General features: G+C 50.9%; 3 protein-coding genes across 12 annotated transcripts in view, besides 8 other annotated features; 2 read left to right on the top strand and 1 right to left on the bottom strand.

The window, feature by feature from the left end:
• SAMD8 (sterile alpha motif domain containing 8) overlaps positions 1-19199 on the bottom strand; it is an 82531-nt gene extending 63332 nt beyond the window's left edge. For 2 of the 5 annotated variants that reach the window (NM_144660.3, XM_005269541.6), the window contains exon 1: positions 7014-7136. The gene's annotated coding sequence lies outside the window, so the exon portion shown is untranslated. Of the gene's footprint in view, positions 1-7013; positions 7137-19063 lie in introns of those variants that run through there. The other 3 variants (NM_001174156.2, XM_047424641.1, XM_011539312.4) reach the window with 2 other exon arrangements.
• Positions 6428-7376: an enhancer, noted in NCBI's record as "H3K27ac hESC enhancer chr10:76871174-76872122 (GRCh37/hg19 assembly coordinates)". NCBI's record gives its function as "activates a minimal SCP1, AML or CMV promoter by ChIP-STARR-seq in naive H9 embryonic stem cells {active_cell/tissue: H9 hESC(naive)}" and the evidence as "EXISTENCE:reporter gene assay evidence [ECO:0000049][PMID:30033119]".
• Positions 6428-7389: a biological region, named in NCBI's record as "H3K27ac hESC enhancer GRCh37_chr10:76871174-76872122".
• Positions 7050-7389: a silencer, noted in NCBI's record as "silent region_2506". NCBI's record gives its function as "represses an Ori minimal core promoter by ATAC-STARR-seq in GM12878 lymphoblastoid cells {active_cell/tissue: GM12878}" and the evidence as "EXISTENCE:reporter gene assay evidence [ECO:0000049][PMID:35858748]".
• Positions 7377-8326: an enhancer, noted in NCBI's record as "H3K27ac hESC enhancer chr10:76870224-76871173 (GRCh37/hg19 assembly coordinates)". NCBI's record gives its function as "activates a minimal SCP1, AML or CMV promoter by ChIP-STARR-seq in naive and primed H9 embryonic stem cells {active_cell/tissue: H9 hESC(naive and primed)}" and the evidence as "EXISTENCE:reporter gene assay evidence [ECO:0000049][PMID:30033119]".
• Positions 9601-24358, top strand: DUSP13B (dual specificity phosphatase 13B). Of its 6 annotated transcripts, NM_001320842.2 has the most exons (7): positions 9601-9783; positions 10583-10800; positions 14695-14898; positions 16831-16925; positions 20907-21080; positions 22997-23217; positions 23914-24356. In NM_001320842.2, the coding sequence occupies exons 3-7, from the start codon at positions 14716-14718 to the stop codon at positions 24114-24116; spliced, it is 876 nt and encodes a 291-aa protein (NP_001307771.1). In that variant the 5' UTR covers positions 9601-9783; positions 10583-10800; positions 14695-14715; the 3' UTR covers positions 24117-24356. The 6 variants fall into 6 exon arrangements, with proteins under 6 accessions (NP_001307771.1, NP_001007274.1, NP_001307772.1 ...); NM_001007273.2 differs by lacking the exon at positions 10583-10800; NM_001320843.2 differs by lacking the exons at positions 10583-10800; positions 14695-14898.
• Positions 9635-13123, top strand: DUSP13A (dual specificity phosphatase 13A). The gene is made up of 3 exons (NM_001007271.3): positions 9635-9783; positions 10583-10800; positions 12924-13123. Exons 1-3 carry the CDS (start codon positions 9635-9637, stop codon positions 13121-13123), a joined length of 567 nt encoding a protein of 188 aa, NP_001007272.1.
• Positions 11972-12815: an enhancer, noted in NCBI's record as "OCT4-NANOG-H3K27ac-H3K4me1 hESC enhancer chr10:76865735-76866578 (GRCh37/hg19 assembly coordinates)". NCBI's record gives its function as "activates a minimal SCP1, AML or CMV promoter by ChIP-STARR-seq in primed H9 embryonic stem cells {active_cell/tissue: H9 hESC(primed)}" and the evidence as "EXISTENCE:reporter gene assay evidence [ECO:0000049][PMID:30033119]".
• Positions 12201-12250: an enhancer, noted in NCBI's record as "active region_3607". NCBI's record gives its function as "activates an Ori minimal core promoter by ATAC-STARR-seq in GM12878 lymphoblastoid cells {active_cell/tissue: GM12878}" and the evidence as "EXISTENCE:reporter gene assay evidence [ECO:0000049][PMID:35858748]".
• Positions 13661-14505: an enhancer, noted in NCBI's record as "H3K27ac-H3K4me1 hESC enhancer chr10:76864045-76864889 (GRCh37/hg19 assembly coordinates)". NCBI's record gives its function as "activates a minimal SCP1, AML or CMV promoter by ChIP-STARR-seq in primed H9 embryonic stem cells {active_cell/tissue: H9 hESC(primed)}" and the evidence as "EXISTENCE:reporter gene assay evidence [ECO:0000049][PMID:30033119]".
• Positions 14506-15350: an enhancer, noted in NCBI's record as "H3K27ac-H3K4me1 hESC enhancer chr10:76863200-76864044 (GRCh37/hg19 assembly coordinates)". NCBI's record gives its function as "activates a minimal SCP1, AML or CMV promoter by ChIP-STARR-seq in primed H9 embryonic stem cells {active_cell/tissue: H9 hESC(primed)}" and the evidence as "EXISTENCE:reporter gene assay evidence [ECO:0000049][PMID:30033119]".

Genomic DNA, 24866 nt, shown 5'->3' with positions numbered 1-24866 from the left:
CTCTGTAGTTTATAGTATTTGGGATTATCCAACTTTTTTCCATACTATTTTAAAATTTTTACCATAAATGAAAACATTTTCATTCAGCAAACAAAAACTACTCTTTTCTCTTTATACTTATAGAAAGATATTTTTCTTTTTCTTTTTTGAGACGGAGTCTTGCTCTGTCGCCCAGGCTGGAATGCAGCGGCGTGATCTCAGCCCACTGCAGCCTCTGCCTCCCAGGTTCAAACAATTCTCCTGCCTCTGCCTCCCAAGTAGCTGGGACTATAGGGGCACACCACCACACCTGGCTAATTTTTATATTTTTAGTAGAGACAGCATTTCACCATGCTGGCCAGGCTGGTCTCGAACTCTGATCTCAAGTGATCTGCCTGCCTCACCCTCCCAAAGTGCTGGGATTACAGGCGCAAGCCACTGTGCCCAGCCTATTTTGCATTTTCTTAGCAAGCACAGGGTATTGTTTCCAAAACATCGATAAAATCTGCAATAATTACAAAACAGTTTCAAAGACCTTGCACTAACTCCTACCATCCATTTTGAAACTCTTTAGTGGTGATTTTCTGTTTTGTTATGTCCCACTTCTGAGCAGTAGAATTTAGGGCAGCATCTTTAAAAGAATTAAATTCCCTCCTCAGTTACATCATCATTCTCTTGGCTGCACTTCAGTTCTTGGACTTTTTTGCTGCTCTAACCGTGAACTCTTATAATTTCACTCAAAAAAAGTTGTCATATATACCAAATAACATCTTTTTCTGGTTCCAAATAGCCTTTAAACTAACTTCTACTATCAGGCTGCACCAAGTTATCTACACCAAATCCAGAACTGTCTCCCCTCAATGAGTAAGAATCTGACAGATATTACCGTCCATTTTATATTCTCAGTTATACCAAAAATTTTTCCACGATGATAGGACTTTGGTGATAAATTTGGTAAAGGGTTCCTGACCTGGCTGCAATGCCACAGCAAACCAGTAAAGAAGCTAAGTATCTAAAATTCTAATTTTTATTCTAACCAGGCTAGCAGTTTAACATATCAATTTGGTAAAATCTTTTTTGTTTGTTTGTTTGTTTGAGAAAGCATTTCACTCTTGTAGCCCAGGCTGGAGTATAATGGCGCAATCTCGGCTCACTGCAACCTCTGCCTCCTGGGATCAAGCAATTCTCCTGCCTCAGCCTCCCAAGCAGCTGGGATTACAGGTACGTGCCACCACGCCCAGCTAATTTTTTTGTACTTTTAGCAGAGAAAAGGTTTCACCATGTTGGCCAGGGTGGTCTTGAACTCCTGACCTCAAGTAAGCCACCCACCTTGGCCTCCCAAAGTGCTAGGATTACAGGTGTGAGCCATCACGCCCACCCTTTTTTTTTTTTAAGATAGGGCCTCACTCTTTACCCAGGCTGGAGTGCAGTGGCGCAATCACAGCTTACTGCAGCTTTGACCTCCTGGGCTCAGGTGATCCTCCCACCTCAGCCTCCTGAGTTCTGGGACTATAGGTGCACACCACCACACCCGGCTAATTTTTGTATTTTTAGTAGAGACGAGGTCTCACTATGTTGCTCAGGCTGGTCTCAAACTCCTGGGCTCAAGGGATCCACCCACCTCAGCTTCCCAAAGTGCTGGGATTACATGCATGAGTCACCCCACCCAGCTGGTAAAATCTTTATTTTTAAATATGCTACACTGGCAGGCTGCGGTGGTTCACGCCTGTAAACCCAACTTTGGGAGGCCAAGGGGGGTGGATGCCTTGAGCCGAGGAGTTCAAAACCAGCCTGAGCAACATAGTGAGACCTCGTCTCTACTAAAAACACAAAAAATTAGCCGAGCATGGTGGCACGCGCCTGTAATCCCAGCTACTGGGGAGGCTGAGGTGGGAGAATTGCTTGAACCCGGGAGGCGAAGGTTGCTATGAACTGACATCACGCCACTGCACCAGGCTTCGGCAACGAAGTGAGACTCTGTCTCTAAATAAATAAATAAATATGCTACATCCAAAATCTAATCAATATAATGGAAAATGAGAAACTGGCTCAAGACTTCAAACTCCATTAAATATTGTGAAAATGGATTGGATTTGCAGCCAAATTTTAATGTATGGTTTTGGAAATCTCTGGCTTTCATGCTAATATTATATTGATGGAACTGACATCAATTCCATTTAATCTCAAAGTTCCAAACTAAAACAGATTTGCAAGTATTTCCAAAAACTCAGTGACACCAGTTAACCTATAGGAAGGCCCTAAATTAGCAGAATCCATGGTTCTCACCTCCAACTAGAATTTATCTGTCAAAAATTTCAAGACAACAGAACAAGTATCAAGATAACAGATACTCATGTTACTACCTCTTGTCCTCTGCCACAACTCATAAGCTTAACTAAATGCACTTCAAAAATTTAAGACACTCACACCTGTAATCCTAGCACTTTGGGAGGCTGAGGTGGGAGGACTGCTCGAGGCCAGGAGCTCTAAACCAGCCTGGTCAACATAGCTGATACCCCATCTCTACAAAAGAAAAATTTAAAAAAATTAGCCAGGTGTGGTGGCACACGCCTATAGTCCCAGCTACTCAGAAAGCTGAGGCAGGAGGACTGCTTGAGCCCAGGAGTTCAAGGCTGCATAAGCCATGATCGCGCCACTGTATTCCAGCCTGGGAGACAGTGAGACCCTATCTTTAAAAAAAAAAAACTACCAAAAAATACTTAGACAAATATAAATATAATTCACTGCCCTGCCCCACAACACTCTTTTCTGAGGTACATATCATAAAACATTGTTTTATGGTGAAACACTGTGGTGAAACTATTATAACCAAGTTTTTCTTAGTTAATAGTCTTTTTTTTTTTTTTTTTTTGAGACGGAGTCTCGCTCTGTTGCCCAGGCTGGAGTGCAGTGGTGTGATCTCCGCTCACTGCAAGCTCCGCCTCTCGGGTTCATGCCATTCTCCTGCCTCAGCCTCCTGAGTAGCTGGGACTACAGGCGCCTGCCACGAGGCCCGGCTAATTTTTTTGTATTTTTAGTAGAGACGGGGTTTCACCGTGTTCGCCAGGATGGTCTCGATCTCCTGGCCTCGTGATCCGCCCGCCTCGGCCTCCCAAAGTGCTGAGATTACAGGCGTGAGCCACCGTGCCCGCAGTATGTTACATTCTATAGTATTGTGAGGACCCAATAACAGAACATTTCAATACGGAAACATGAAGTCACTGAACTCAGCTAAAGGTTAGGCTTCAGATCTGTGATGATGGTACTGTGTGTATGGGAGGAGGGGGTTCAGGAATATTCACATCACAGGTCTGTTACAAATCCATACCCACACATTCATATGGCAAATTACCAGGAAGCAACAGCGGTAGCATGTAAACACCAATCTGTTTTCCCAGTGTGCCTGGCCCATGCTCTCCTATTTTTAGTTAACATCTTGATTTCTCAAGGCCAAGAAAACCACAAGACCTAAAGTAAGCATCACTGTCCTGATGATATCTGTTGTCAAATGGCTTTCTCTGTTCTTGCCCTACTATTAACCCCTCAATGTGTTACATCATACCCTTAGAGCAAAACAAAAACAAGAACAAAAACTGGTTCCAAAAGAATTCCCAAAATCACATGTAAGCAAGTATTAAAGATACGGCATTTTGCAAATAAGTAACTCTTTATTTGTAAACAAATATAAATACATGAGACGTGAAAATAATCAAGGCTCTCCCCTGTCATCTCTGCAAATAAGTAAAACATTTAATCTAATCTGGGAATGAAATAGTATAGTCCTCCTCTATAACCTAAATCCCTTAAAAGAATTTTGATTAGCTCATACTGTATTTTTTCACCAAATACCACAATCATTCAAAAGAGCTTCATAGGTAATTTAGCAGAATATGCAATTGTATTCATATCTCGTATAAATCAGTTTGATGTCCAAAGAGAATCAAAGCTACAGAAGCTTTAAAATTAAAAAGTGAATTCAATCTTAGTTCATTAACAATCCACTGGCATATGAAAAATGAAGGGGGTAGAATCTGAAGACAGGAAAGATTTCCATCCATAAATTAACGGGCATGCTAGGTACACCCAACAATTAACACCATATATTACATCAGGCCTGGAAGTAAAAATCTTGAAAGAATAGCTTGTTAACATGGCATTCTTATAAAACAATAATAATACTATTCATGGAAACATCTGTGATTTAAGTTTCTCAAAAAAAGTGTTCAAATTTCAATTCTTAGAAAAGCCATGAAAATGTCTTAATCAGTAACAGCAAAGTTTTGAAGAAGTATTGAGGATCTAATGATTAACAAAATAAAAAAATGTTTATAAGCAACTGTGCAATGTGAATAAGCTTTTGCAGAAGGGGGGTTATGGTACTGAAATCAAAACTGATTTACCTAAATATGTCTGCATATTCTGCCATCGCAGTCATGATGGCTTCTTCTGCCTTAGAGAAACCGATTTTTTTTTTTTTTTTGAGACATATCACTCTGTTGCCCAGGCTGGAGTGCAGTGGTGTGATCTCAGCTCACAACCTCTGCTTCCCGGGTTCAAGAGATTCTCCTGCCTCAGCCTCCTGAGTAGCTGGGATTACAGGTGTGAGCCACCACACCTGATTAATTCTTTTTATAGTATTAGTAGAGATGGGGTTTTGCCATGTTGGCCAAGCTGGTCTTGAACTCCTGACCTCAAGTGATCTGCCTGCTTCGGCCTCCTAAAGTGGTGGGATTACAGGAGTAAGCCACCACACCTAGCCAAAAACTGATTTTCTTTATTCAATGGGTGTGAGAACTGACAAAGGGAAACAAAAATTAAAAAACTATTAGACATGCTAATATGTTAATTGTACAACTCCATCTAACAGTTTCTCTTTAATTTTGCAATAACATTAAGCTGTAATCTTAATAGAGTTCTTATATTGCAGTTCAGCAAATTTTTACATGCCATGACTTTTATTCACAACTAAGTATGAAGATAAGGTCTCCAGAGGATCTCACTCTAAAGATAAAACCAACAAACAGTAATATTACATAAACTTCAACTGAAGATAATTTGTATTAAGTTAAAGAAAAGGGAATTAATACTTTAACAATCTCAGCATTTTTAGCTAAGAATTCACATATCCTTTGAAGAAACAATTACTATTCCACTGTGCATCTGAGGGTATGTCACATAGCCCATACACATAAACTAATTTAAAAGCTGTTGCAAATCAAATTATCATCTCATGAAGATTAAACAGTAGATATCCATTTAGATTTAATCAAGCATTTAGAAAACGCTTGATGCTAACAAAAATTAGCCAGCCATGGTGGCGCCCACCTGCAGTCCCAGCTACTCCCAGCTACTTGGGAGGCTGAGGTGGGAGGATCACTTAAGCCTGGGCAACACAGCGAATCTCTGTCTCAAAAAAAAAAAAGAAAGGAAAGAAAAGAAAAGAAGGAAGAGAAAAGAAATGGCCAACAACTTTACAAACCTATAATCACATAAAAAGTTGTAAAACATATGAGACATGTGGCTAAAGTCAAAGACTTCATGGAACCATGTTATGACTTAACAATCACAAAAGGAAGTCAATTTATCTCTACTAAAGTGAATATAAATATTGCAATCATTCTTTTTCTGGCATAATTATGTTTTGGAACTATGTCTTCTATAAAAAGCATCTGTATACCCACCTGTCCCAGTTGTGTTGGCTGCCAACTACAAGCATCCTCTGTCCTTATTTTTCCAAATCACTCTACTAAAAATACTATTCACACAATACCTGCAAAATAGTATTTCAATATTGGTTTTGCCAATCAGTCAAAGGTACCTCTCCAATTTTCAAGAGATAAGTCCAATCCTGGGGTTATCAGTGAGAGGAAGATTTGGTATTGCGCCTAGACTGTGGCAAGTTCACTGTGCCCCCTTCACCCAGAAACTTGCATTGACCATACATTTACTATGTGGCAAATACATGTGTCAACTTAAAACTTTGAAAGTGGAACCAGTCCATGTTGAGTATCTGTAAAATCCAAGTGTCCAAATTCTTGTTTCAAGTTTAATTTTTAAAATCTGAGTATCCAAAGTCTTGTTTCAAGTTTTTAAAACTTAAAGGTAATATAGTAAATTTTTAGGATCTTAACATGTCTGGTATTTAAACTTAGCTACGAAAAAATTACAATGAAAAAAAGGACACCATTACTGTCAATAAATCCAAATGATATCTTCATTTTCAGAATCACGTCTTCCACTACCTTCTTCAAACATCACTTCCTCTCCACTACTTCCCCCAGTCCTTTAGGCAAATCAGTGATTCACACCGCCCCTTCCACCCAAGATTCTTAAAATGATCCACTGTGCACGAACGAGAAAGCCCCACGATCCAAGTACATTGCCCTAGTGATCTTTGATGTTTTAAAAGGCACCTGTAAAAATGCCAAAGCCCAAAATTAGATCCCCAAGGGCTCCTTTTCTTTCTTGACCACACTTCTCTTTTTCAGTGCCTCCCTCACCCCTTGAGGCCAGACGATTTCCCATCCAACAGCCCTCCTCCTTCTAGTCAAACCTAAATCCTGCCCTCCATCACCACCAGCCCCACCCGGGGTGGGAGGCGGATAAGAGGGCTCCGTAAGAGGAGAACCCCATGAGAGGGCTCCAGTCCCAGCCCCGATCGCCCTCCCTCGCCCTGGGAAGGGAACACCGGCCCAGGTCTTGCTCCTCTGACTCCTCATCCCCGCTGCCAAACCCAGAGCATCTCTTCTTCCGGGTCCACATTCCCGCAGGACCTTCGATCTTTTTCCCCCACTGCGCAGCTTTCAAAAGCCCCCAAGCTCTGGGCTCTTCAAGCCTCCCCCTCTCGCTCTCTCCCTCTCGTTCCTCGGCCTCCACTTATCCCTCAGCCTTCAGGCCCTCAGTTCGACAACCTCCATTTGCTTCAGATTCCATTCCAGAGCTGACTATCCCGGTTCCCTCAACCGTCTCCCCGGGGCCCCTCCAGGTCGCGGTCCCTCGGCAGCCCCCGGCTCCATCCCAGACTCCCCACTCACCCTTGGCAGCAGGCGCCCCCCAAGCTCCCCTCTCCTCAGCCTCAGCTCCCGCTCACCTCCGCGGTCCGAGTCGGGCTCCCCGGACCCACCTCCGAGTCGGCGTCCGAGCCGCCGTCGGAGTCCGGGGCCCTCCCCGCCTCGCCGGAGTGAAGCGCCTCAAGCGGCGGGGGCGGAGCCCGGGGCGGGGAGCCGGAGTGGAGGCGGGGGCGGTGGCGACTGCGCGCAGGCATCGTCCCGGCCGCCGTCACCGCCGCGCCGGCAGCTGCTCGGAGCCGAACCGGAACTGCTTCGGGAGGCGGGGCCCTACCGGCCGGGGACGGGGTTCTACCGGCAGGGGGCGGGGCCCACACTGGAAAAGACGCGAGGCTCCAGATGGGCCCGAGAGGAGAACCGAGATGCTGCCGCGGAGGAGCCCGAGGGCGCATGCGTCATGCCGGAGGCCAAAGCGACAGGAGGAAGCGGGGCTAGCGGAGCCGGGGCGGGGCCTGTGGGATCAGTAAATGGGGTTAGGGCCTAGAAGGAGGTAATCCGAATTCCTCTGGAGAGAGCCAGCTCTTCTCCAATAGCCAGCCCCCAATGATCATTGTTATAATTTATTGCCCATTTACTCTTTGACAGTGTCTATGCCAAACGCCATATAAACATCTCATTTAATCCTTGTGCTAAGGCCGGGAGCGGAGGCTCACGTCTGTAATCCCAGCACTTTGGGAGGCTGAGGCGGGATCACCTGAGGTCAGGAGTTCGAGACCAGCCTGGCCAGCATGGGGAAACCTCGTCTGTACTAAAAATACAAAAATTAGCCGGGCGTGGTGGTGCATACCTGTAATCCCAGCTACTCGGGAGGCTGAGGCAGGAGAATCGCTTGAACCCGGGAAATGGAGGTTGCAATGAGCCGAGATCACGCCATGGCACTCCAGCCTGGGCGACAAGAGCAAACTCCATCTCAAAAAAAAAATCCTAGTGCTAATTCTGCAAGGGGGATCCTATAGCACAGAAAAGTAAAGAAACATACTGCCTGACATATTGCAAACTGATATTCCAACCCAAATCTCTCTAACATCAGATCCTGTATTTTCCTCACTCCACCATGCTGCACCACCCTGAGGGAAGGTCTCCTCCCAAGCCAGGTCTAGCATTGGCATAAACCAAGTCCAAACCCAGCTGTAACCTGGACACGAGCCCCTCCTTGGTCTTGCCTCCCCACACAGTGCCGGGCCGACTTCAATGGTTCTGAATGGGATAGACATGAGTGTAGACTGCTTCCATGGGATGCCCTGGTGTGGCCTTTCCCTTCAAACTGGTCTTAAGGCCAAGGGCAGCTGGGAACCTCCCCACTGCAGCTCATACCCTTCCCAGCTCCATTAGGGCCACTGAGAAGTCACATGAGAGAGGGTGAGACATCTCATCTCTCTTGCTGATAACCAGCTCTGGCAGAAGGACAGGTTGACCTTTCTCAGTTTCTATTTTGGGACCCAAAGCCCTTATAGGCAGAGGAATCTCCCTCCCACTGTTTCTGATGACAGTTAGCCCCTTTGGCTCTCAAAGTCTAGGGCAACACTCACCTCCCGTCTCCCCATTTGACATACAAGGCCCTCTTCAGCCTTCTCTTCTGAGAAGTTAGCCATCTTCACTACAGGACCATTGTTCAAACCTTGCCCCATTGGCCCGGCACGGCGGCTCACACCTGTAATCCCAGTACTTTGGGAGGCCGAGGCAGGCTGATCACTTGAGGTAGGAGTTCAAGACCAGTCAGACCAACATGGCAAAACCCCATCTCTACTAAAAACACAAAAATTAGTGTGGCATGGTGGCACATGCCTGTAATCCTAGCTACTCAGGAAGCTAAAGCAGGAGAATCACTTGAACCTGGGAGGTGGTAGTGGCAGTGAGCCAAGATGATGCCACTGCACTCCAGCCTGGGTGACAGAGTGAGACCCTGTCTAAACAAAACAAAACAAAAAAAAACACCTTCCCCCTCCCCCCATGAATCTTGTGGGCACCCTTTAAAGGAAGCTCTCCATGTCTCTTACCCATATTTCTCTGACTCTACAACTCAGAAAACTGTCCCTGACCTCCGTAATTCAGAGACTCATCCAACAGACATCCAATCCAGCTCCTGCCCAATTTGTGGCCCACCTAGACTGTACACTTCTTTCAGTTCTTTCTATCATTCATCCTTGGAACCAGCCACCTCCTCTGCACCCTGGATCTCTACTTTAACTCAGTCCTCAGAACCTAATAGCCTTAGGCAGGGCTCTACATCTACTAATTCCACAGATGTTTCTAAGCACCTACTATGTGTCAGACCCAGCATGTCCTTTGTTTCATCTAATCCTCAAATTCTCTGAGGTAGGTGTGATTATCCTTACTTTACAGATGAAGAAACTGAGGTTCAGGGTGGTAGCTGACTTGCAGAGGTCTCTCTGATTCTGTGTTCTCATGGAGTTTGGGGGTGGGGGGAGGCTTGGGGAGGAAAAGGTCTTGTCCACTCCAGAGGCCCCTGTGACTTGCTGAGTCACTTGCTTCTGTCACCTGTCCCTGTCAATCTCTGGGAAGGAGAAATGACACTGGAGAGGCAGAGAGGAGTGACCACAGAGGCAGAGGGGTGGGCGGGCTGGCCCATGGCTGAGACCTCTCTCCCAGAGCTGGGGGGAGAGGACAAAGCCACGCCTTGCCCCAGCATCCTGGAGCTGGAGGAGCTCCTGCGGGCAGGGAAGTCTTCTTGCAGCCGTGTGGACGAAGTTTGGCCCAACCTTTTCATAGGAGATGCGTGAGTGGTAGCTGGCCAAGGGGCATGGGGGTGGGGACGTGGAGAGGCAGTTCTTGGTCGCTTTACCAGACACAGGAGGGTGGAAACAAGGAGAAATAGCTCTGCTCTGACCATCCCAGGCCAGGGACCTTCTCCAGGACCCCCGGGGGTGCTGAGGTCAGTGCAGTGACCAGGTATGGCCACCAGGGAGAGCAGGGACTTCGCCTGCCTGAAAGCAGGGAGTCTCCCAGGAGTTCCAGGAAACATTTCCAGGACAACTGTCAAGTGTAGAGGCAGAGGCCCAGGAAATAGTATTTGGGGCATGAGATAAGGTAGACAGAGAGCCCCCTGTTTCTGGGCCCAGCCTCCCTCCTCTGGATACAGACGGTGGAGAAGCCTGACTGAAGGTGAATCAGAGAAGGTGTTGCCTCTAAACATTTGTAGGTTAGAAGCAGGTATGAGGTGGTAGCCAGTAGAGGACGGATATGCGTGGGAGGACATGGGGCAAGAAGGGAGGGGCAGCCAGGTTCCAGGGCTGAAGCAATCCCTTCCTTCCTGTCCTGGCCAAGGCAGGGACAGATGCATTGAGGAAGCAAAGAGGGTCTAAAGATCCCCCGACACACACACCGCCGGCTCAGCCACCAGAAAGTGCGGGGCTCTGGGTATAGGGCTGTGGAGTCAGACCCCACTTGGAGCTTGCTGGGGTTGGACTCTCTTTGGACCCTAATGGCTCGGTCCCTCTGCAGCAGGGGGCCAGGCACAGCCTCCCTCCTGGTCCCATGGCTTGGCCGGCATCAAGTGCCCTTCCTGCCCTCCCCAGGGCCACGGCAAACAACCGCTTTGAGCTGTGGAAGCTGGGCATCACCCACGTGCTGAACGCCGCCCACAAGGGCCTCTACTGTCAGGGCGGCCCTGACTTCTACGGCAGCAGTGTGAGCTACCTGGGGGTGCCAGCCCACGACCTCCCTGATTTTGACATCAGTGCCTACTTCTCCTCTGCGGCTGACTTCATCCACCGTGCCCTCAACACGCCTGGGGGTAGGACTTGGGGTCCAAGCCCATATCCCATCTTGCTCATTCATGGGGAGGATGCCTCATTTCCTCTCAGTCATCAGTGCCCTCCCATCCCTGCTTTTTAAAAATCCTCTGCTTAGGCCGTGTGTGGTGGCTCATGCTTGTAATCCTAGCACTTTGGGAGGCCGAGGTGGGTGGATCGCCTGAGGTCAGGAGTTCAAGACCAGCCTGGCCAACACGGTGAAACCTCGTCTCTACTAAAAATACAAATATTAGCCGGGCATGGTGGCACCCACCTATAATCTCAGCTACTCTGGAGGCTGAGGCAGGAGAATTGCTTGAACATGGGGGGCGGAGGTTGCAGTGAGCCGAGATCATGCCACTTCACTCTAGCCTGGGCAAAAGGGCGAAACTCCATCCCCCCCCGCCAAAAAAAAGTCCTCTGCTTAGTGCTCCAGCATTTTGTCGAACCCGATTCCTTCCCAGATGGGGAAACTGAGGCCTGGAATACAAGGTCATGCCATGAGTTAGGAGCAACCCTGAGGCTGAAAGCCATTTCTCCCAAACAGCAGAACAGCTCTTTCTCTGCAACACTCAACTTTGGGAAAGCACCATTTGGTACCTAGATGTCTGCCCCAAAGTACTTTTTTTCTCCTTTTTTTTTTTTTTCTGAGACAGAGTCTCAGTGCTACCCAAGCTGGAGTGCAGTGGCGCGATCTCTGCTCCTCCGCCTCCTGGGTTCAACCTCTGCCTCTGGGCTTCAAGCAATTTTCGTGTCTCAGCCTCCCAAGTAGCTGGGACTACAGGCATCCGCCACCATACCCGGCTAATTTTTGTATTTTAGCAGAGACAGGGTTTCACCATGTTGGCGAGGCTGGTCTCGAACTCCTAACCTCAAGTGATCTGTCTGCCTCGGCCTCCCAAAGTGCTGGGATTATAGGCATGAGCCACCGCACCCGGCCCCCAAAGTACTTTTAACTAGAAAAGAAATATATCTTCAAATACTCAGGATACAGCATAGGAGCCCAGGGAGGCTGGTGTCCTGGCTTTGTGTCCATCCTAGAAGACAGCTGTGTCCCTCACTGTGTGACCCTGGGCAAGCCAGTGTCCCTTTCTGGACTTCAGTTTCCTCATCTATGTGACAGGAATGACAAGATTACAGCTCACATGACTTTTTAGTATCCAACACACTTTGACATTCTTTTGCTATTTATCCATTCATTCACCAGCTATTTACTGAGTATCCACTACGTGCCTGGCACTGAGCTAAATACTGGGAATCCAGACTTTAAGAAGCAGGATCCCTGCCCTCTTGGAACTGGTGGAAAGACAGCCAAATTGCGAATAGTATAGTGAGAGCTACTCATAAGAGTGGGCCAGTGTGGAGGGCTCTGGGAGCACACGGCGGGGGTGCTAAGCCCAGAGGATCGGGAAGGTGGGGGGACTTCCCTCTACAAAGGTATCCATGGGTAATATGCAAAAAAGATGAGCTGCTTTGTGATTCAAGCAATACTTTGAGCGGTCAAGAAAGCCTGTGGAGGAAGCCGTGTCTCAGCCAAAACCTGGTGGATGAGTAGTGGAAGTTAGTCAGACCGAGACCAGGGGAAACAATTTGCAGGTATTTGGAATAGCATGTGGTAAGGCTGGAGGTCAGAAACCATGGCAGCCTCAAGGAACTGCAAGTTCCTCCATGTTTCTCGAGCTGAAGGTGGGGGAGGGACAATCTGAGATGAGGCGACAGGGGCCAGCTCTTGAAGTGTTAAAAAGGTTTGGAGGCCAGGAGCGGTGTCTCACGCCTGTAATCCCAACACTTTGGGAGGCCAAGGTGGGAGAATCACTTAAGTTCAGGAGTTCAAGACCAGCCTGGGCAACATAGTGAGACTTTGTCTCTACTAAAAAAAAAAAAAAAAAAAAGAAAAGAAAGAAAAGAAAAAAGAAATTCGGACCCTATCCCAAGGGTAGGCAGAACAGGTGTTGATCTACCCATTTTACCGATCAGGAAACTGAGGTCCATAAAGGCTGAGTGACTTGCTCAGGATCACAGAGTGCACCCAAGGCAGGGTCAGGAAAGGAACTTGGGTCCCCATCCCAGCCCGTGGGTGGGCCGGTGTGTGGGACAGGGTTTTTCACCAGGATGTCTTCCTCAGCCAAGGTCCTGGTGCACTGTGTGGTGGGCGTGAGCCGCTCTGCCACGCTGGTCCTGGCCTACCTCATGCTGCACCAGCGGCTGTCCCTGCGCCAGGCGGTGATCACCGTGAGGCAGCACCGATGGGTCTTCCCCAACCGAGGCTTCCTGCACCAGCTCTGCAGGCTGGACCAGCAACTGCGGGGTGCCGGCCAGAGCTGAGGGGCCAGGTGAGGCCTCAGGGGGCAAAGCTGGATGTGGTTGGCCGGAAGAGGCCAGGTGAGGGCCTAGGCTGCAGACATAGGATTGGATTCTTCCAGGATTGGTTGGCAGGGCTGTGTGTGGCTGGAAGTGAGGATTAAAGGGGGCCTGGCCCTCTCTCCAAACTGCTGGGTTCCCTTAACCTACCCAGGGTCTCACCCAAGGGCCTGGCCTAGGCAATTCTCCTGTAGGACCCCCAACCCATATCCCCCACCCCACCTGGATCCTTCAGACCCCAAAGAGAAGAGAAGGACTAGGATGCGAGGGTGTGGAAAGCATAAAATGGAAGAGGGGAGACTTTCCTACCTGGTCTTGGGGCCAACCTGCCCTGCCTCAGCTGAAAGCCTGTGGGGGCTCCCCTAAATCTCACTGAGGCATCTGCACAGCCAGCCTGGACCCTCCTGAACCTCCACATCCCCTTCCCCCTAGGTCTGGACCCCAGGTACAGTGCCACAGAGAAAACTTTCCAGGCTTAGCTAATTCTCATCAGTGAGCTAAGGCCAGGCCTCCACGGTGGCTCCCCACCCAGCAGGGCCTGCCTCCACCTCTGCTTCCTCTACAACTCCTTGCCTGTCTCGCCTCAAGCCTGTCTTTGGCTGTCCCTACCACCCCATGCCACAGACGGGCTGCCATTTGGGGGTGGGTGACTGGCCTGGGCATGCTTGGGAGCTGGAACAGCAGTAGCTTTTTCCTCCCAGAAACCTCCCAGGGCAGGGCCTGACTCTCTCCCTGCCTCCCACCCCTAAGAGCAGTTCCTGTCTCTGAAGGCATAGCCAGCCCAAGCAGAAGGGAGGCCCTTCAGCAGCATCGACCCCTTCCCCTGTGCTGGCTGGAGGATAAGCATCTTGAGGAGCAGGATTAGGGAAGGATCAGGGGCTAAGTTTAGAGTTTGGGGGTGACTGTGATAAGAAACTTTGGGTTATAGCTGGGCTTGAGATTGGCCTGTAGCCAAGCTGTGGCATGGAGCTCTGTGGGTAGAAGGTCTGAAGGGGGCATGTTTCCCATGGAATGGCAGATTCCCTGCCTGCTCTCTCTCCTCTAGACAGGACCCAGGAACCTGGCGGAGCATCAGATCTCGGACCATGCCCAGTCACCCTTCTCCCTCAGCCTGGGGCCTTAGGCTCCCTGACCTCTGACCTCAGCATCTTTCCCATCAGGCAGCTGACTTTGGGGAAGTTGGATAGGCAGGGGTACAGCATTGCACAATTCATGGAGGTGTCATCCACCAAACTGTGCAACTGGAGGCCCCAGGAGTTATGCAGTGTGCAGCCTGTGCAGCCATACAGAGCAGCTCTGGGTCCAGGTACTCTGAAAGATAAGGGGCCCATGGGGAGAGGTCATCTCTGTCCCTAAGCCATGGATACCAAATCTACCTCCTCATCTCTCCCAGCAGCTGCACTCACTTGACCTTATGCACAGGGCTCAAGGCAGAAGCAGGTTTAGGTGACAGCTCTTATCCCTGCCCCAACAAGTCCCAGCCAGCCTGGGCCTTGGTTCACCTGCCTGTAACACAGAGCTCATCTCTCTTCCAGAGCTGGTCCTTACTCCCTGCCATGGGGCTCTGCCACTTTGCCACCCTGGCACTGATCCTGCTGGTGCTGCTGGAGGCTCTGGCCCAGGCGGACACACAGAAGATGGTGGAAGCCCAGCGTGGGGTCGGCCCTAGAGCCTGCTACTCCATCTGGCTCCTCCTGGCGCCTACACCCCCTCTCAGCCACTGTCTTCAGTCTCCACAGGTGGGAGTGGGCTCCCCTCTCAGCCAAGCCCTCAGGCTTCTTGGCCAGGGACCCCAAGTTCCCTGGGAAAGTGGGGAGGGGAGGAGAGAGGAAGGGGGTTCCAGATATTTGTGATAGCTGTTGGCCACAGCTGTCTCCAGCAGCTCCCCTCAGGGCTCAGAGAGCCCCAGGAGGGGCTGAGCCTTAGCTCCCTGGAGCTCAGACCTCAGAGACCCAGTGCAGGTATGGCTGCAGGCATGGGTGTGCCCTGTTCCCACCATCTGGGAGTGCAAGCGGGGAGTAGTATCAAGGTATGTGTGTATGACAAAGGTCTGTGGATGACAGAGAAGATTTCTAGTAGGCCCAATTGAAGGTCCTAGCTGACCACAGTTAGCATGGGGAGAGACCTTAAAGACCATCTCTCTGGCCTCAGGGGACAGTGGGGCCTGGGTGTCCCTGCCTTTTGGGTTGGGGGAGGAGCTTGGCAGAGGGTGGGAGTGGCCCTGGACACACTGCTTCTGCCTGCAGCCCAGGGCTGTCTGAAGACCTGCTCTACACCTGTGTCTGTGTGTGGGCCTGTGCTGCTTCCCTCAGCCTGAGTCTTCTAGGTCTTTATCCTGGACCTGTCCCATCGGCCTTGGCCCCTAACTGAGGGCCCCGGACCTGGGTCCTGCTGTTGGCAATGCCACCAGTTTACATGTGATTTTTGGCTAGCCTCTTCACTGTCCTCCTCCACAGAACATCCTTCCAACTTGAACTTCCTGCCCTTCTTCTATAATACCCTTGAAGGCCAAGGGAGAGGGTCTCACTCCAGTTGCTTAGGCTGGAGTGCAATGGCATGGTCAAGGATTAGGGCTCACTGCAGCCTTGACTTCCTGGGCTCAGGTGATTCTCCCACCTCAGCTTCCCGAGTAGGAGGGACTATAAGTGTGTGCCACCACAACCAGCTAATGTTTTTTTTGGAGACGGAGTTTCGTTCTTGTTGCCAAGGCTGGAGTGCAATGGCGTGATCTCAGCTCACTACAACCCCCACCTCCCGGGTTCAAATGATTCTCCTGCCTCAGGCTCCCGAGTAGCTGGGATTACAGGCATGCGCCACCACGCCCAGCTAATTTTGTATTTTTAGTAGAGGCAGGTTTTCTCCATGTTAGTCAGGCTGGTCTCGAACTCCCGACCTCAGGTGATCCGCCCACCTCGGCCTCCCAAAGTGCTAGGATTACAGGCATGAGCCACCGCGACCAGCCCAACTCACTAATTTTTTGTATTTTTAGTAGAGACAGGGTCTGGCTATATTGCCTAGACTGGTCTTGAACCCCTGGGCTCAAGCAATCCTCCCACCTCAGCCTCCCAAAGTGTCGGGATTATAGGCATTAGCCACTGCATCCGGCCAAGGGACCTTTTAAAATGGTTTATTTGATCTTCCTTCTCCCACTATCTCTTTTTTTCTTTTTGTTTTTTCTTTTTTTCTTTTTGAGACGGAGTCTCGCCCTGTCGCCCAGGCTGGAGTGCAGTGGCGCGATCTCGGCTCACTGCAAGCTCTGCCTCCCGGGTTCACGCCATTCTCCTGCCTCAGCCTCCTGAGTAGCTGGGACTACAGGCATCCACCACCACGCCCGGCTAGCCTGTTAGCCAGGATGGTCTCGATCTCCTGACCTCATGACCCACCCTCCTCGGTTTCCCAAAGTGCTGGGATTATAGGCTTCAGCCACCGCGCCCGGCCCCTTCTCCCACTATCAACATACATGTACACAATATGCCACAGTCAGACCTGGGCTGAGCTGCCTTGATTCTTAGCAGTGCTGGGACAGAGGCCTGGGCCTGGAGGGAAAGGTGCCTGACTGTGCTTGGCACTGGCCATGCCATGGAACCAGTGGACAAGTTGGGAGTGGCAGGGGAGGCTGGAAGAGGGGAGTAGACAGCATGCTTTATAATTAAACTCAAATCAAAAAATAGAAACAGCATCAAGTGTGCGGAGACAGGCGGCTGAAAGCCAGCAGCACGAACTGCCCGTCAGAGAAGTGCACAGCCTGGGCCAGATACTCCCACAGGTGGGTGAGTGCTCCTAATTTGGGGGGGGTAGGATGTGGTCCCTGAGCATGCTGGGTAATGAGGGCCAGGACACTTGTGCCTGTGTGGGGAGGGGTGGGGTTTGGGTTGGGTAGAGAACCGACTGGGTCAGAGATGAAGGCGCAGACAAGGTATAGTAGAGTCAGAGAGACCTGGGTTTGAATCCTGACTCCCACATCAATTGGCTATGTGACTCTGGGTATGTTGCTTAACCTCTCTGAGTCTCGGTTTCCTCATCTGTAAAATGGGGATGATAATATTACCTGCTCCATAAAGGCACTGTGAGGATTCAATGAGAAAATGTGAGCACCTAGCTCTGTCTGGCACATAGTACATCCTTGATGAGTGCTAAATATAACAATTATTGCTGGACAGAGAAAGAAATATCAAGAAATACAGAGATAGAGAAGAAATCTCACTGTCCCGTAGGGAAGTTACCCTCCACATAGGATATGGCTGGGGCTGGAAAGGGTAAGAGTAATTATAGTAGTGATAATAATAGTAAGACGTGCCATTTATTGGGCATCTACCATAAGACAGACCCTGTGGGAGGTGCTTTACATTAATTATTACATGGAATTCTCACAGCAGCCCCACTGAAGAAACTGGCTTGGTGAAGACAAGACCACATAGCTGCAAGTACCAGACCTGAGATTTCTACCCAGGTCTGCCCTCCCCAAGACCCTCAGGCTGAGCACAGAGACCCACAGCTGTTCCCCACTGGCAGCCACACGCCACCCTTCTGCAGGCCTTCTCCCCACACTCCTCACTGGTCCTGCCCTGAGATCTCCAGCCCCACATGGCCTGTGGCCACACTTCTGTCTGGCCTCCCTGGAGTGGAGTCAGAAAGGATGGGCAGGAAGAAAGTCCAGGGGACTATCTGAAACTGCAGCTGAGAGGTGGATGGCAAACAGCTGCCCCCTGCCCCAAGGAAGCCTGTGCCTCTGCCCGATGTCTTGGGCACACAGAGCAGCGTCATGGGAGGCTGCAAAGGCACATGAGCTTCCTGGGGGAGGATGGGAGACAGAGGCAAACGGGGGAGTGACCCAGGGAGGAGAGATGCAAACACAGAAAAGAAGTGCATGGACTTGCAAACAGCAGCAGCACAGGAGCAGCCAGGAAAAGCCCTGCCTACAGAGGCAGCTGCTCTGCTGAGCGGGGGAGGCAGGAAGGGGGCGAGGAGGAGCACGGGATCAGGGAGAGAAGGAAGACTGCAGGGAGTGGGAGGGGAGCTCGGCCGGGCCCTGGCCCTGCTGGACGTTGGGCCTGTGCTTCACCCAGCTGGGGACAAGGAGACATGGAATGTAGTGTCAGGCAGGGCCCTCCGAAGACCAAGTCTCAGGTGTCAGAAACCGGCGGAGCTGCCACAACCACCGACTTCCCCTCCTTGGGAGGGACTGGGGCTTAAAGGACGAGTCCCTGGGGGGGTGGCCGGGCCTGACTCTGACTGATGGGATGGGCTGGGTCCCAGTGGGTTAGAGTGGACAGGTGGGGCAACACCCTGAGCATCGGGAGCAAGGCATTAGGTGGAGCCTGACCAGGCATAGCGCTAAGTCCAGGGGAGAGCCCCGTTCTTCAGACCTGGGCCTAGGTCCCCTCGGAGGCAGAGGCATGCACTGTGGCCTACCAGCCCCCAAATCCTTGACCCCTCTGGAGCCTCCTGGGGGTGGAGCCTGGCTGCCTGCTCCCTGGCAAGGCTGGGCTGTGACACACCCATTGGCCACCAGGGGGCAGCCTCACCCCATGCCAAGCTCCGCAGGCCTGAGCCCGGAGCCTGTCCCACTTCCCAAAGCCCCATCTCCTGCCTGGGGTGGTGCAGCCCCACCTGATGGCTCCAGACCAGTGTGGCTGTTGGACTCCTCTGGGTCCTGGGGGCTTCCCCAACTCCACCACACTACACTGCCCTCTGCCCTGCAGTGACCGCATATCCAGACACTCCTCTCTCATTCTCGGGTCAGACCCCCAGAGCATCCTGAAAATTAAGTCCAGCATCCCTAGCATGGGAAGATAAACTGTGGTCCAGATGGGAGCAAAGACTTGCTCGTGGCCACAGAATGAGTTATGGCAGAGTGCTGGGGGAGCCAGGCTCTCCTCCCTGCCTCAGAAGTTCTCTTCCCACCTCTTCAGGTAGACTCCCATCTTCATGGAGGTTTATGGAACCAACGGTCTTCAATCCCAAACAGATACCAAGCAGAGAGGAGGCCTGGGGGTTTAGAGGGACCGGAGGGCCCACTGCAGTCCACAAGGCCTCAGTCGGCTCTCAGGCCCCACCCCCCATGGGCGCCCCAGCCAGCACCTGGAATTCTAGCCGCTTCACAGTGTTTGTGTTCTGGGCAGAACCTGCCCAGCCCTGTTCCGCTCAGGCAGAGTCCTGCCCCTGCACCCACTCCCCCATTCCCGGCCCCAGGCCATGCCCCAGGTAGGTGGCAGGCCACTCAGCCACCTGGAGAGGTCACAGTGGGGGATGAGGAGGACAGCTTGGTCTTCACTTCCGCCTTGCCCGACAGCCTCCCACTGGGTGAGCCTGGCCAAGCCGGCAGCCTCCTGGGTGCCTGTTTCTTTTTCTGGTCCTGGCACTGCCTACCAAAGGGAAAAGATGTTCTTCCCAGTATGCACCTTCCCTAGTCACTGGTCCAGGGGATCAGGGGCAGTTAGCAAAGACAGGACCCCCTCTCCAACACGGCACCAGGCCCATATTCTGGTGCCGCTGAAAATCCAGCTCCGCAGGGTCCCTGACTCCTTCAGCCAGCAGATGCCTGAAACAAGCTACCTGACCCGGGTGGGGCCTGACATCCAGTGCTGGCCTGAGTCGTGGGGGTAAGGAGGAAAACCCAGGGCCTGTAGGCAGGTGTGTGGCTCAGCAGTACCAGGCTCCCTTGAGGAAGCAGATGGGTTAGTGACCACTCTCTGGAGGCCCCAAAGATGGTAACTGAAAGGCTTGGGGATGGACTAAAACCCCAGCCTTGCTACTCATGAGCCGTATGGCTTTGGGCATCACTTTTAAAACATTCTGAGCTTCAGCTTCCTCCTGGGTAAAATAGGAACAGATATCCCACGAGTGAGACATCAGGCTTTTTGTTGTTGTTGAGATGGACTCTCGCTCTGTTGCCCAGGCTGGAGTGCAGTGGTGTGACCTCAGCTCACTGCAACCTCTGCCTCACAGGTTCAAAAGGTTCTCCTGCCTCAGCCTCCCTAGTAGCTGGGACTACAGGAGTGGACCACCACACCTGGCTAATTTTTGTATTTTTGGTAGAGACAGGATTTTGCCTCATTGGCCAGGCTGGTCTCGAACTCCTGACCTCAGTTGATCTGCCTGCCTCAGCCTCCCAAAGTGCTGGGATTACAAGTGTGAGCCACCGTGCCCAGCCAGAGGCATCAGGCTTATAAGAGGCATTAGCTCATTCCATGCGGAGTTGCTAACAAATACCAGTTCACAGTCCTGGCCTCTTACCTGGAGATAGGCTCTGATCTCCAAGCCCCTGAAAGTGGGAGGGGACGGGGGTCTGAGGATGAGTACTGGAAGTAGCAGGTGAGGGGGCTTGAGATGAGCTGCTTAGGTTGGTGGGGGCTTCCTGGGTGCCCTGAGAGCCACAGCCATCTGGGGCTTTCATCCCTACAAAGTCCAAGCTGATTTAGGGATGAGATCTGCACTGACTAGTGCCACAAACAGGGAACTCCAAGGGCCCCTTGGCCAAAGCTTCATACATCTGCAGCTCAGCAGAGGGCAGGAGAGAGGTCTGCCCAGCTCCATAGCAGTGACAAAGGCTTGATTCCCTTGTTCCCTGGGGAAGGGTTCTAGGCCTCAGCCCCAGCTGAGCTTGTTAATACCTCATGTGAAATAGATGAAGCCCTTCCTGCAGCATCCCCGTGGCACCTAGGCACTGCACCATGGGCTTCCCCATCAGCTGGATCCACCCTCTGGGAGCCTGCCTCCAGCCACTGCGGTGTCCACTCTGTTCCAGGATGGACTCACTGCAGAAGCAGGACCTCCGGAGGCCCAAGATCCATGGGGCAGTCCAGGCATCTCCCTACCAGCCGCCCACATTGGCTTCGCTGCAGCGCTTGCTGTGGGTCCGTCAGGCTGCCACACTGAACCATATCGATGAGGTCTGGCCCAGCCTCTTCCTGGGAGATGCGTGAGTAAGACCCACGTTAGGAGTGGGGATGGCGGAAGGGTGTGAGGTTCACACGGGAATGGGGGCATGAGCCTCTCTCAGAGCCCTCTAGGGCAGAGGTGGCACGCTTGCCTCCCACCGTCTCTTTCCCTATGTTTCTTTCCTTTTATATTATTACTGCTTTTAACTGTGGAACTAGAATGCACATAAGAAAAGTGCACAGGGCCGGGTGCGGTGGCTCACGCCTGTAATCCCAGCACTTTGGGAGGCCAAGACAGGTGGATCACTTGAGGTCAGAAGTTCGAGACCAGCCTGGCCAACATGGTGAAACCTCATCTCTACTAAAAATACAAAAAATTAGCCAGGTGTGGTGGTGGACGCCTGCAATCACAGCTACTCAGGAGGCTGAGGCAGGAGAATCACTTGAATCCAGGAGGCAGAGGTTGCAGTGAGCCGAGATCGTGCCACTGCACTCCAGCCTGGACAATAAGAGCGAAACTCTGTCTCAAAGAAAGAAAAAAAAAAGGAAAAAGGAAATGTGCACAGAGCACGTATGAACAGCTTCATCACCCAGTGAAGAAAAAGGATATTACTTGTCTCCCAGAAGCCCCTACTGAATCCTTCTCATTATAACTTTTCTATTCTCTGTGGTTAATCACTATCTGTTGAATTAATTATTTTCTGTAAAGTTTTACCACCTATATATCTAAACAGTGTAGTTAGTTTCACCTGTTGTTTAAAATGATATGAGTGGAATCATGTTGTGTGTGTTTTGTGCCTGGGATCATTTGCTCAAATTTGTGAGTCACCCACATTGTTATGTGTACCTGAAGTTCATTCATGTTTTCACTGCTGGAGTCATCATATGATTATGCCACAGTTTATCCATTTTACTGAATATGGACATTTGAATTGTTTCCACTTTTTGACTATTATGAACAGTGATCCTAGTAATATTTCATTTTAAAATTTTTATTTATTTATTTAGAGACAAGGTCTCTCTCTGTTGCCTAGGCTGGAATGCAGGGATTATCATCATTCACTGCAACCTCAAATTCCTAGGCTCAGCAATTCTCCCACCTCAGCCTCTCAAGTAGCTGGGAATACAGGTTTGCACAACCACACCTAGCTAATTTTTCTTTTTTTTTTTTTTTTTGAGGCGGGGTCTCACTGTGCCACCCAGGCTGGAGTATAGTAGTGCAATCTCCACTCACTGCAGCCTCAACCTCCCAGGCTCAGGTGATTCTCCCACCTCAGCCTCCCAAGTAGCTGGGACTACTGGCATATGCCACCATGCCTGGCTAATTTTTGCATTGTTTGTAGAGATAAGGTTTTGCCATGTTGCCCAGGCTGGTCTCGAACTCCTGAGCTCAATGAATCCTCCCGCCTTAGTCTCCCAAAGTGTTGGGATTATAGGCATAAGCCACAGTGCCTGGCCTGAAAAGGAGTCTATTTTTTGTTGTTGTTGTTGTTTTTTTGAGATGGAGTCTAGCTCTGTTGCCCAGGCTAGAGTGCAGTGGCATAATCTTGGCTCACTGCAACCTCCGCCTCCTGGGTTTAAGTGATTCTCCTGACTCAGTCTTCTGAGTAGCTGGGACTACAGGTGCCCACCACCATGCCTGGCTAATTTTTGTATTTTTAGTAGAGATGGGGTGTCACCATGTTGGCCAGGCTGGTCTCAAACTCCTGACCTCAAGTGATCTGCCCACCTCGGTCTCCCAAAGTGCTGGGATTATAGGCGTGAGCCACCGCACCCAGCCCGAAAAGGAGTCTTAAACTCCAACAGGAGGAGCCCCTTCACCCTGGGCCAATTTGCAGGCTCTTGTCTCTACCCTTGGTGGGTGGTGGGCGGGGGTGTTTGCAAACTTCAACCCAGCCAGAGCTGCCACAGTGAGATCTACCTCCACTCTCCTAACCCCTTGTGCCCTCTCCTCCAGGTACGCAGCCCGGGACAAGAGCAAGCTGATCCAGCTGGGAATCACCCACGTTGTGAATGCCGCTGCAGGCAAGTTCCAGGTGGACACAGGTGCCAAATTCTACCGTGGAATGTCCCTGGAGTACTATGGCATCGAGGCGGACGACAACCCCTTCTTCGACCTCAGTGTCTACTTTCTGCCTGTTGCTCGATACATCCGAGCTGCCCTCAGTGTTCCCCAAGGTGCACTTCTGGATCAGGCATGGTGGAGGGTGGAGGGTGTGCTTTAGGACTCTCCATTATTCCAGTAGCACTGGTGGGTGGGAGTCCAGAGAGACAAACCCTTTCAGTAACCCTCCCACTCCATAGGGAAAATAGCTACTACCATTCAGTGAGTGTCCCCTTCAGGGACACCCTGGAGGCTAGCAATTGCAGACATAACTAAGATGCAGTGTGGTCATCAGCATCACCACATCCCTCCATAAGAGGCCAGGCACTGGACAGAAGGTATAGGACCCAGTGAAGCTCTTGAGCGGGTTCCTCTAAGATGAGGCCTTGGCATAGAGCTGCAGGGGCAGTCGAGAGGGCAGAACTCGGGGGAAAGGGAGGTAGATGGACACCCCCTATAATCTGATGCAAACCCAGTGACCTCAGGAATTCAGTAAACCCCCTTCCCCTGGCCCAGAGTTGCAAAGGATGCCTGAGGAAGCACCTGGACTGGAAGAAGGAAATCCCGGCTGCTAACCTAAACCCTGCCTCTAACTTGCTATGTGACTTTGAGCCAGCCTCCTCTCTTTGGGCTTCAGTTGCCCCATTTGACAGAGTAGACAGTGTCAGTATTCCAGGATACTGTAGAGGATGGCCATGGGTGTCTCTTCTTCCCAAAGGGGTGGGTGGTTCAAGGGCAGGTAGCTGATGCTAAGTTGGTTCTCCCTACAGGCCGCGTGCTGGTACACTGTGCCATGGGGGTAAGCCGCTCTGCCACACTTGTCCTGGCCTTCCTCATGATCTGTGAGAACATGACGCTGGTAGAGGCCATCCAGACGGTGCAGGCCCACCGCAATATCTGCCCTAACTCAGGCTTCCTCCGGCAGCTCCAGGTTCTGGACAACCGACTGGGGCGGGAGACGGGGCGGTTCTGATCTGGCAGGCAGCCAGGATCCCTGACCCTTGGCCCAACCCCACCAGCCTGGCCCTGGGAACAGCAGGCTCTGCTGTTTCTAGTGACCCTGAGATGTAAACAGCAAGTGGGGGCTGAGGCAGAGGCAGGGATAGCTGGGTGGTGACCTCTTAGCGGGTGGATTTCCCTGACCCAATTCAGAGATTCTTTATGCAAAAGTGAGTTCAGTCCATCTCTATAATAAAATATTCATCGTCATAAAGACAGGTGATCTTTTGGTGGTCTGTGGGGCAAGGACTTACTCTCGGGATGGTCACAAGGTTCCAGATGGCTTGCCAACTCTGATTCAGTGGGATGGCAGCCTCGGGGAGGAGTACAGGTGGGAATAATTCGTGATATCTGCCTTGGGTGCAGGAGGAAGGTTTGGGGGTACAAGTGTGAGGATTAGATAACCTCGTCCTCATCTTGTCCTCCTCATCTTGTCCTCCTCATACCCTCACCCAATAGTTAGGTTGTCTGATAAAGACCCAAGTTCAATGCATCACCATTATCTCCATGCCCATCCTACCCAAGGCTAAATATCAAAATTCACTGTCCACTAGTAGCATCTCTTGAAACCAGTCAGTCTTTTCACTAGCACTCTGCTTTCAAACGGACTGCTTAAAATTAGACTCCTAACAAATTAAAGCATTAAACAAGAGGATGATGGGGTTGGGAAGGAGACATACCAGAAATACTAGGCAAAGGACAGTTATATGATGGAACAAAATAG

This window comes from Homo sapiens, chromosome 10, assembly GCF_000001405.40.
Source record: "Homo sapiens chromosome 10, GRCh38.p14 Primary Assembly".
Classification (NCBI taxonomy): domain Eukaryota; kingdom Metazoa; phylum Chordata; class Mammalia; order Primates; family Hominidae; genus Homo; species Homo sapiens.
This window is presented reverse-complemented; position numbering and strand designations above follow the sequence as displayed.

Coding starts and splice junctions, on each gene's coding strand:
- DUSP13B (NM_001363514.2), top strand. CDS start 19,355: ATGCCCCAGGTAGGTGGCAGGCCACTCAGCCACCTGGAGAGGTCACAG. Junction 19,762..20,906: donor TGCTGGCCTGAGTCGTGGGG/GTAAGGAGGAAA, acceptor ACTCTGTTCCAG/GATGGACTCACTGCAGAAGC. Junction 21,081..22,996: donor AGCCTCTTCCTGGGAGATGC/GTGAGTAAGACC, acceptor CCTCTCCTCCAG/GTACGCAGCCCGGGACAAGA.
- DUSP13A (NM_001007271.3), top strand. CDS start 9,635: ATGGCTGAGACCTCTCTCCCAGAGCTGGGGGGAGAGGACAAAGCCACG. Junction 9,784..10,582: donor AACCTTTTCATAGGAGATGC/GTGAGTGGTAGC, acceptor TGCCCTCCCCAG/GGCCACGGCAAACAACCGCT. Junction 10,801..12,923: donor TGCCCTCAACACGCCTGGGG/GTAGGACTTGGG, acceptor TGTCTTCCTCAG/CCAAGGTCCTGGTGCACTGT.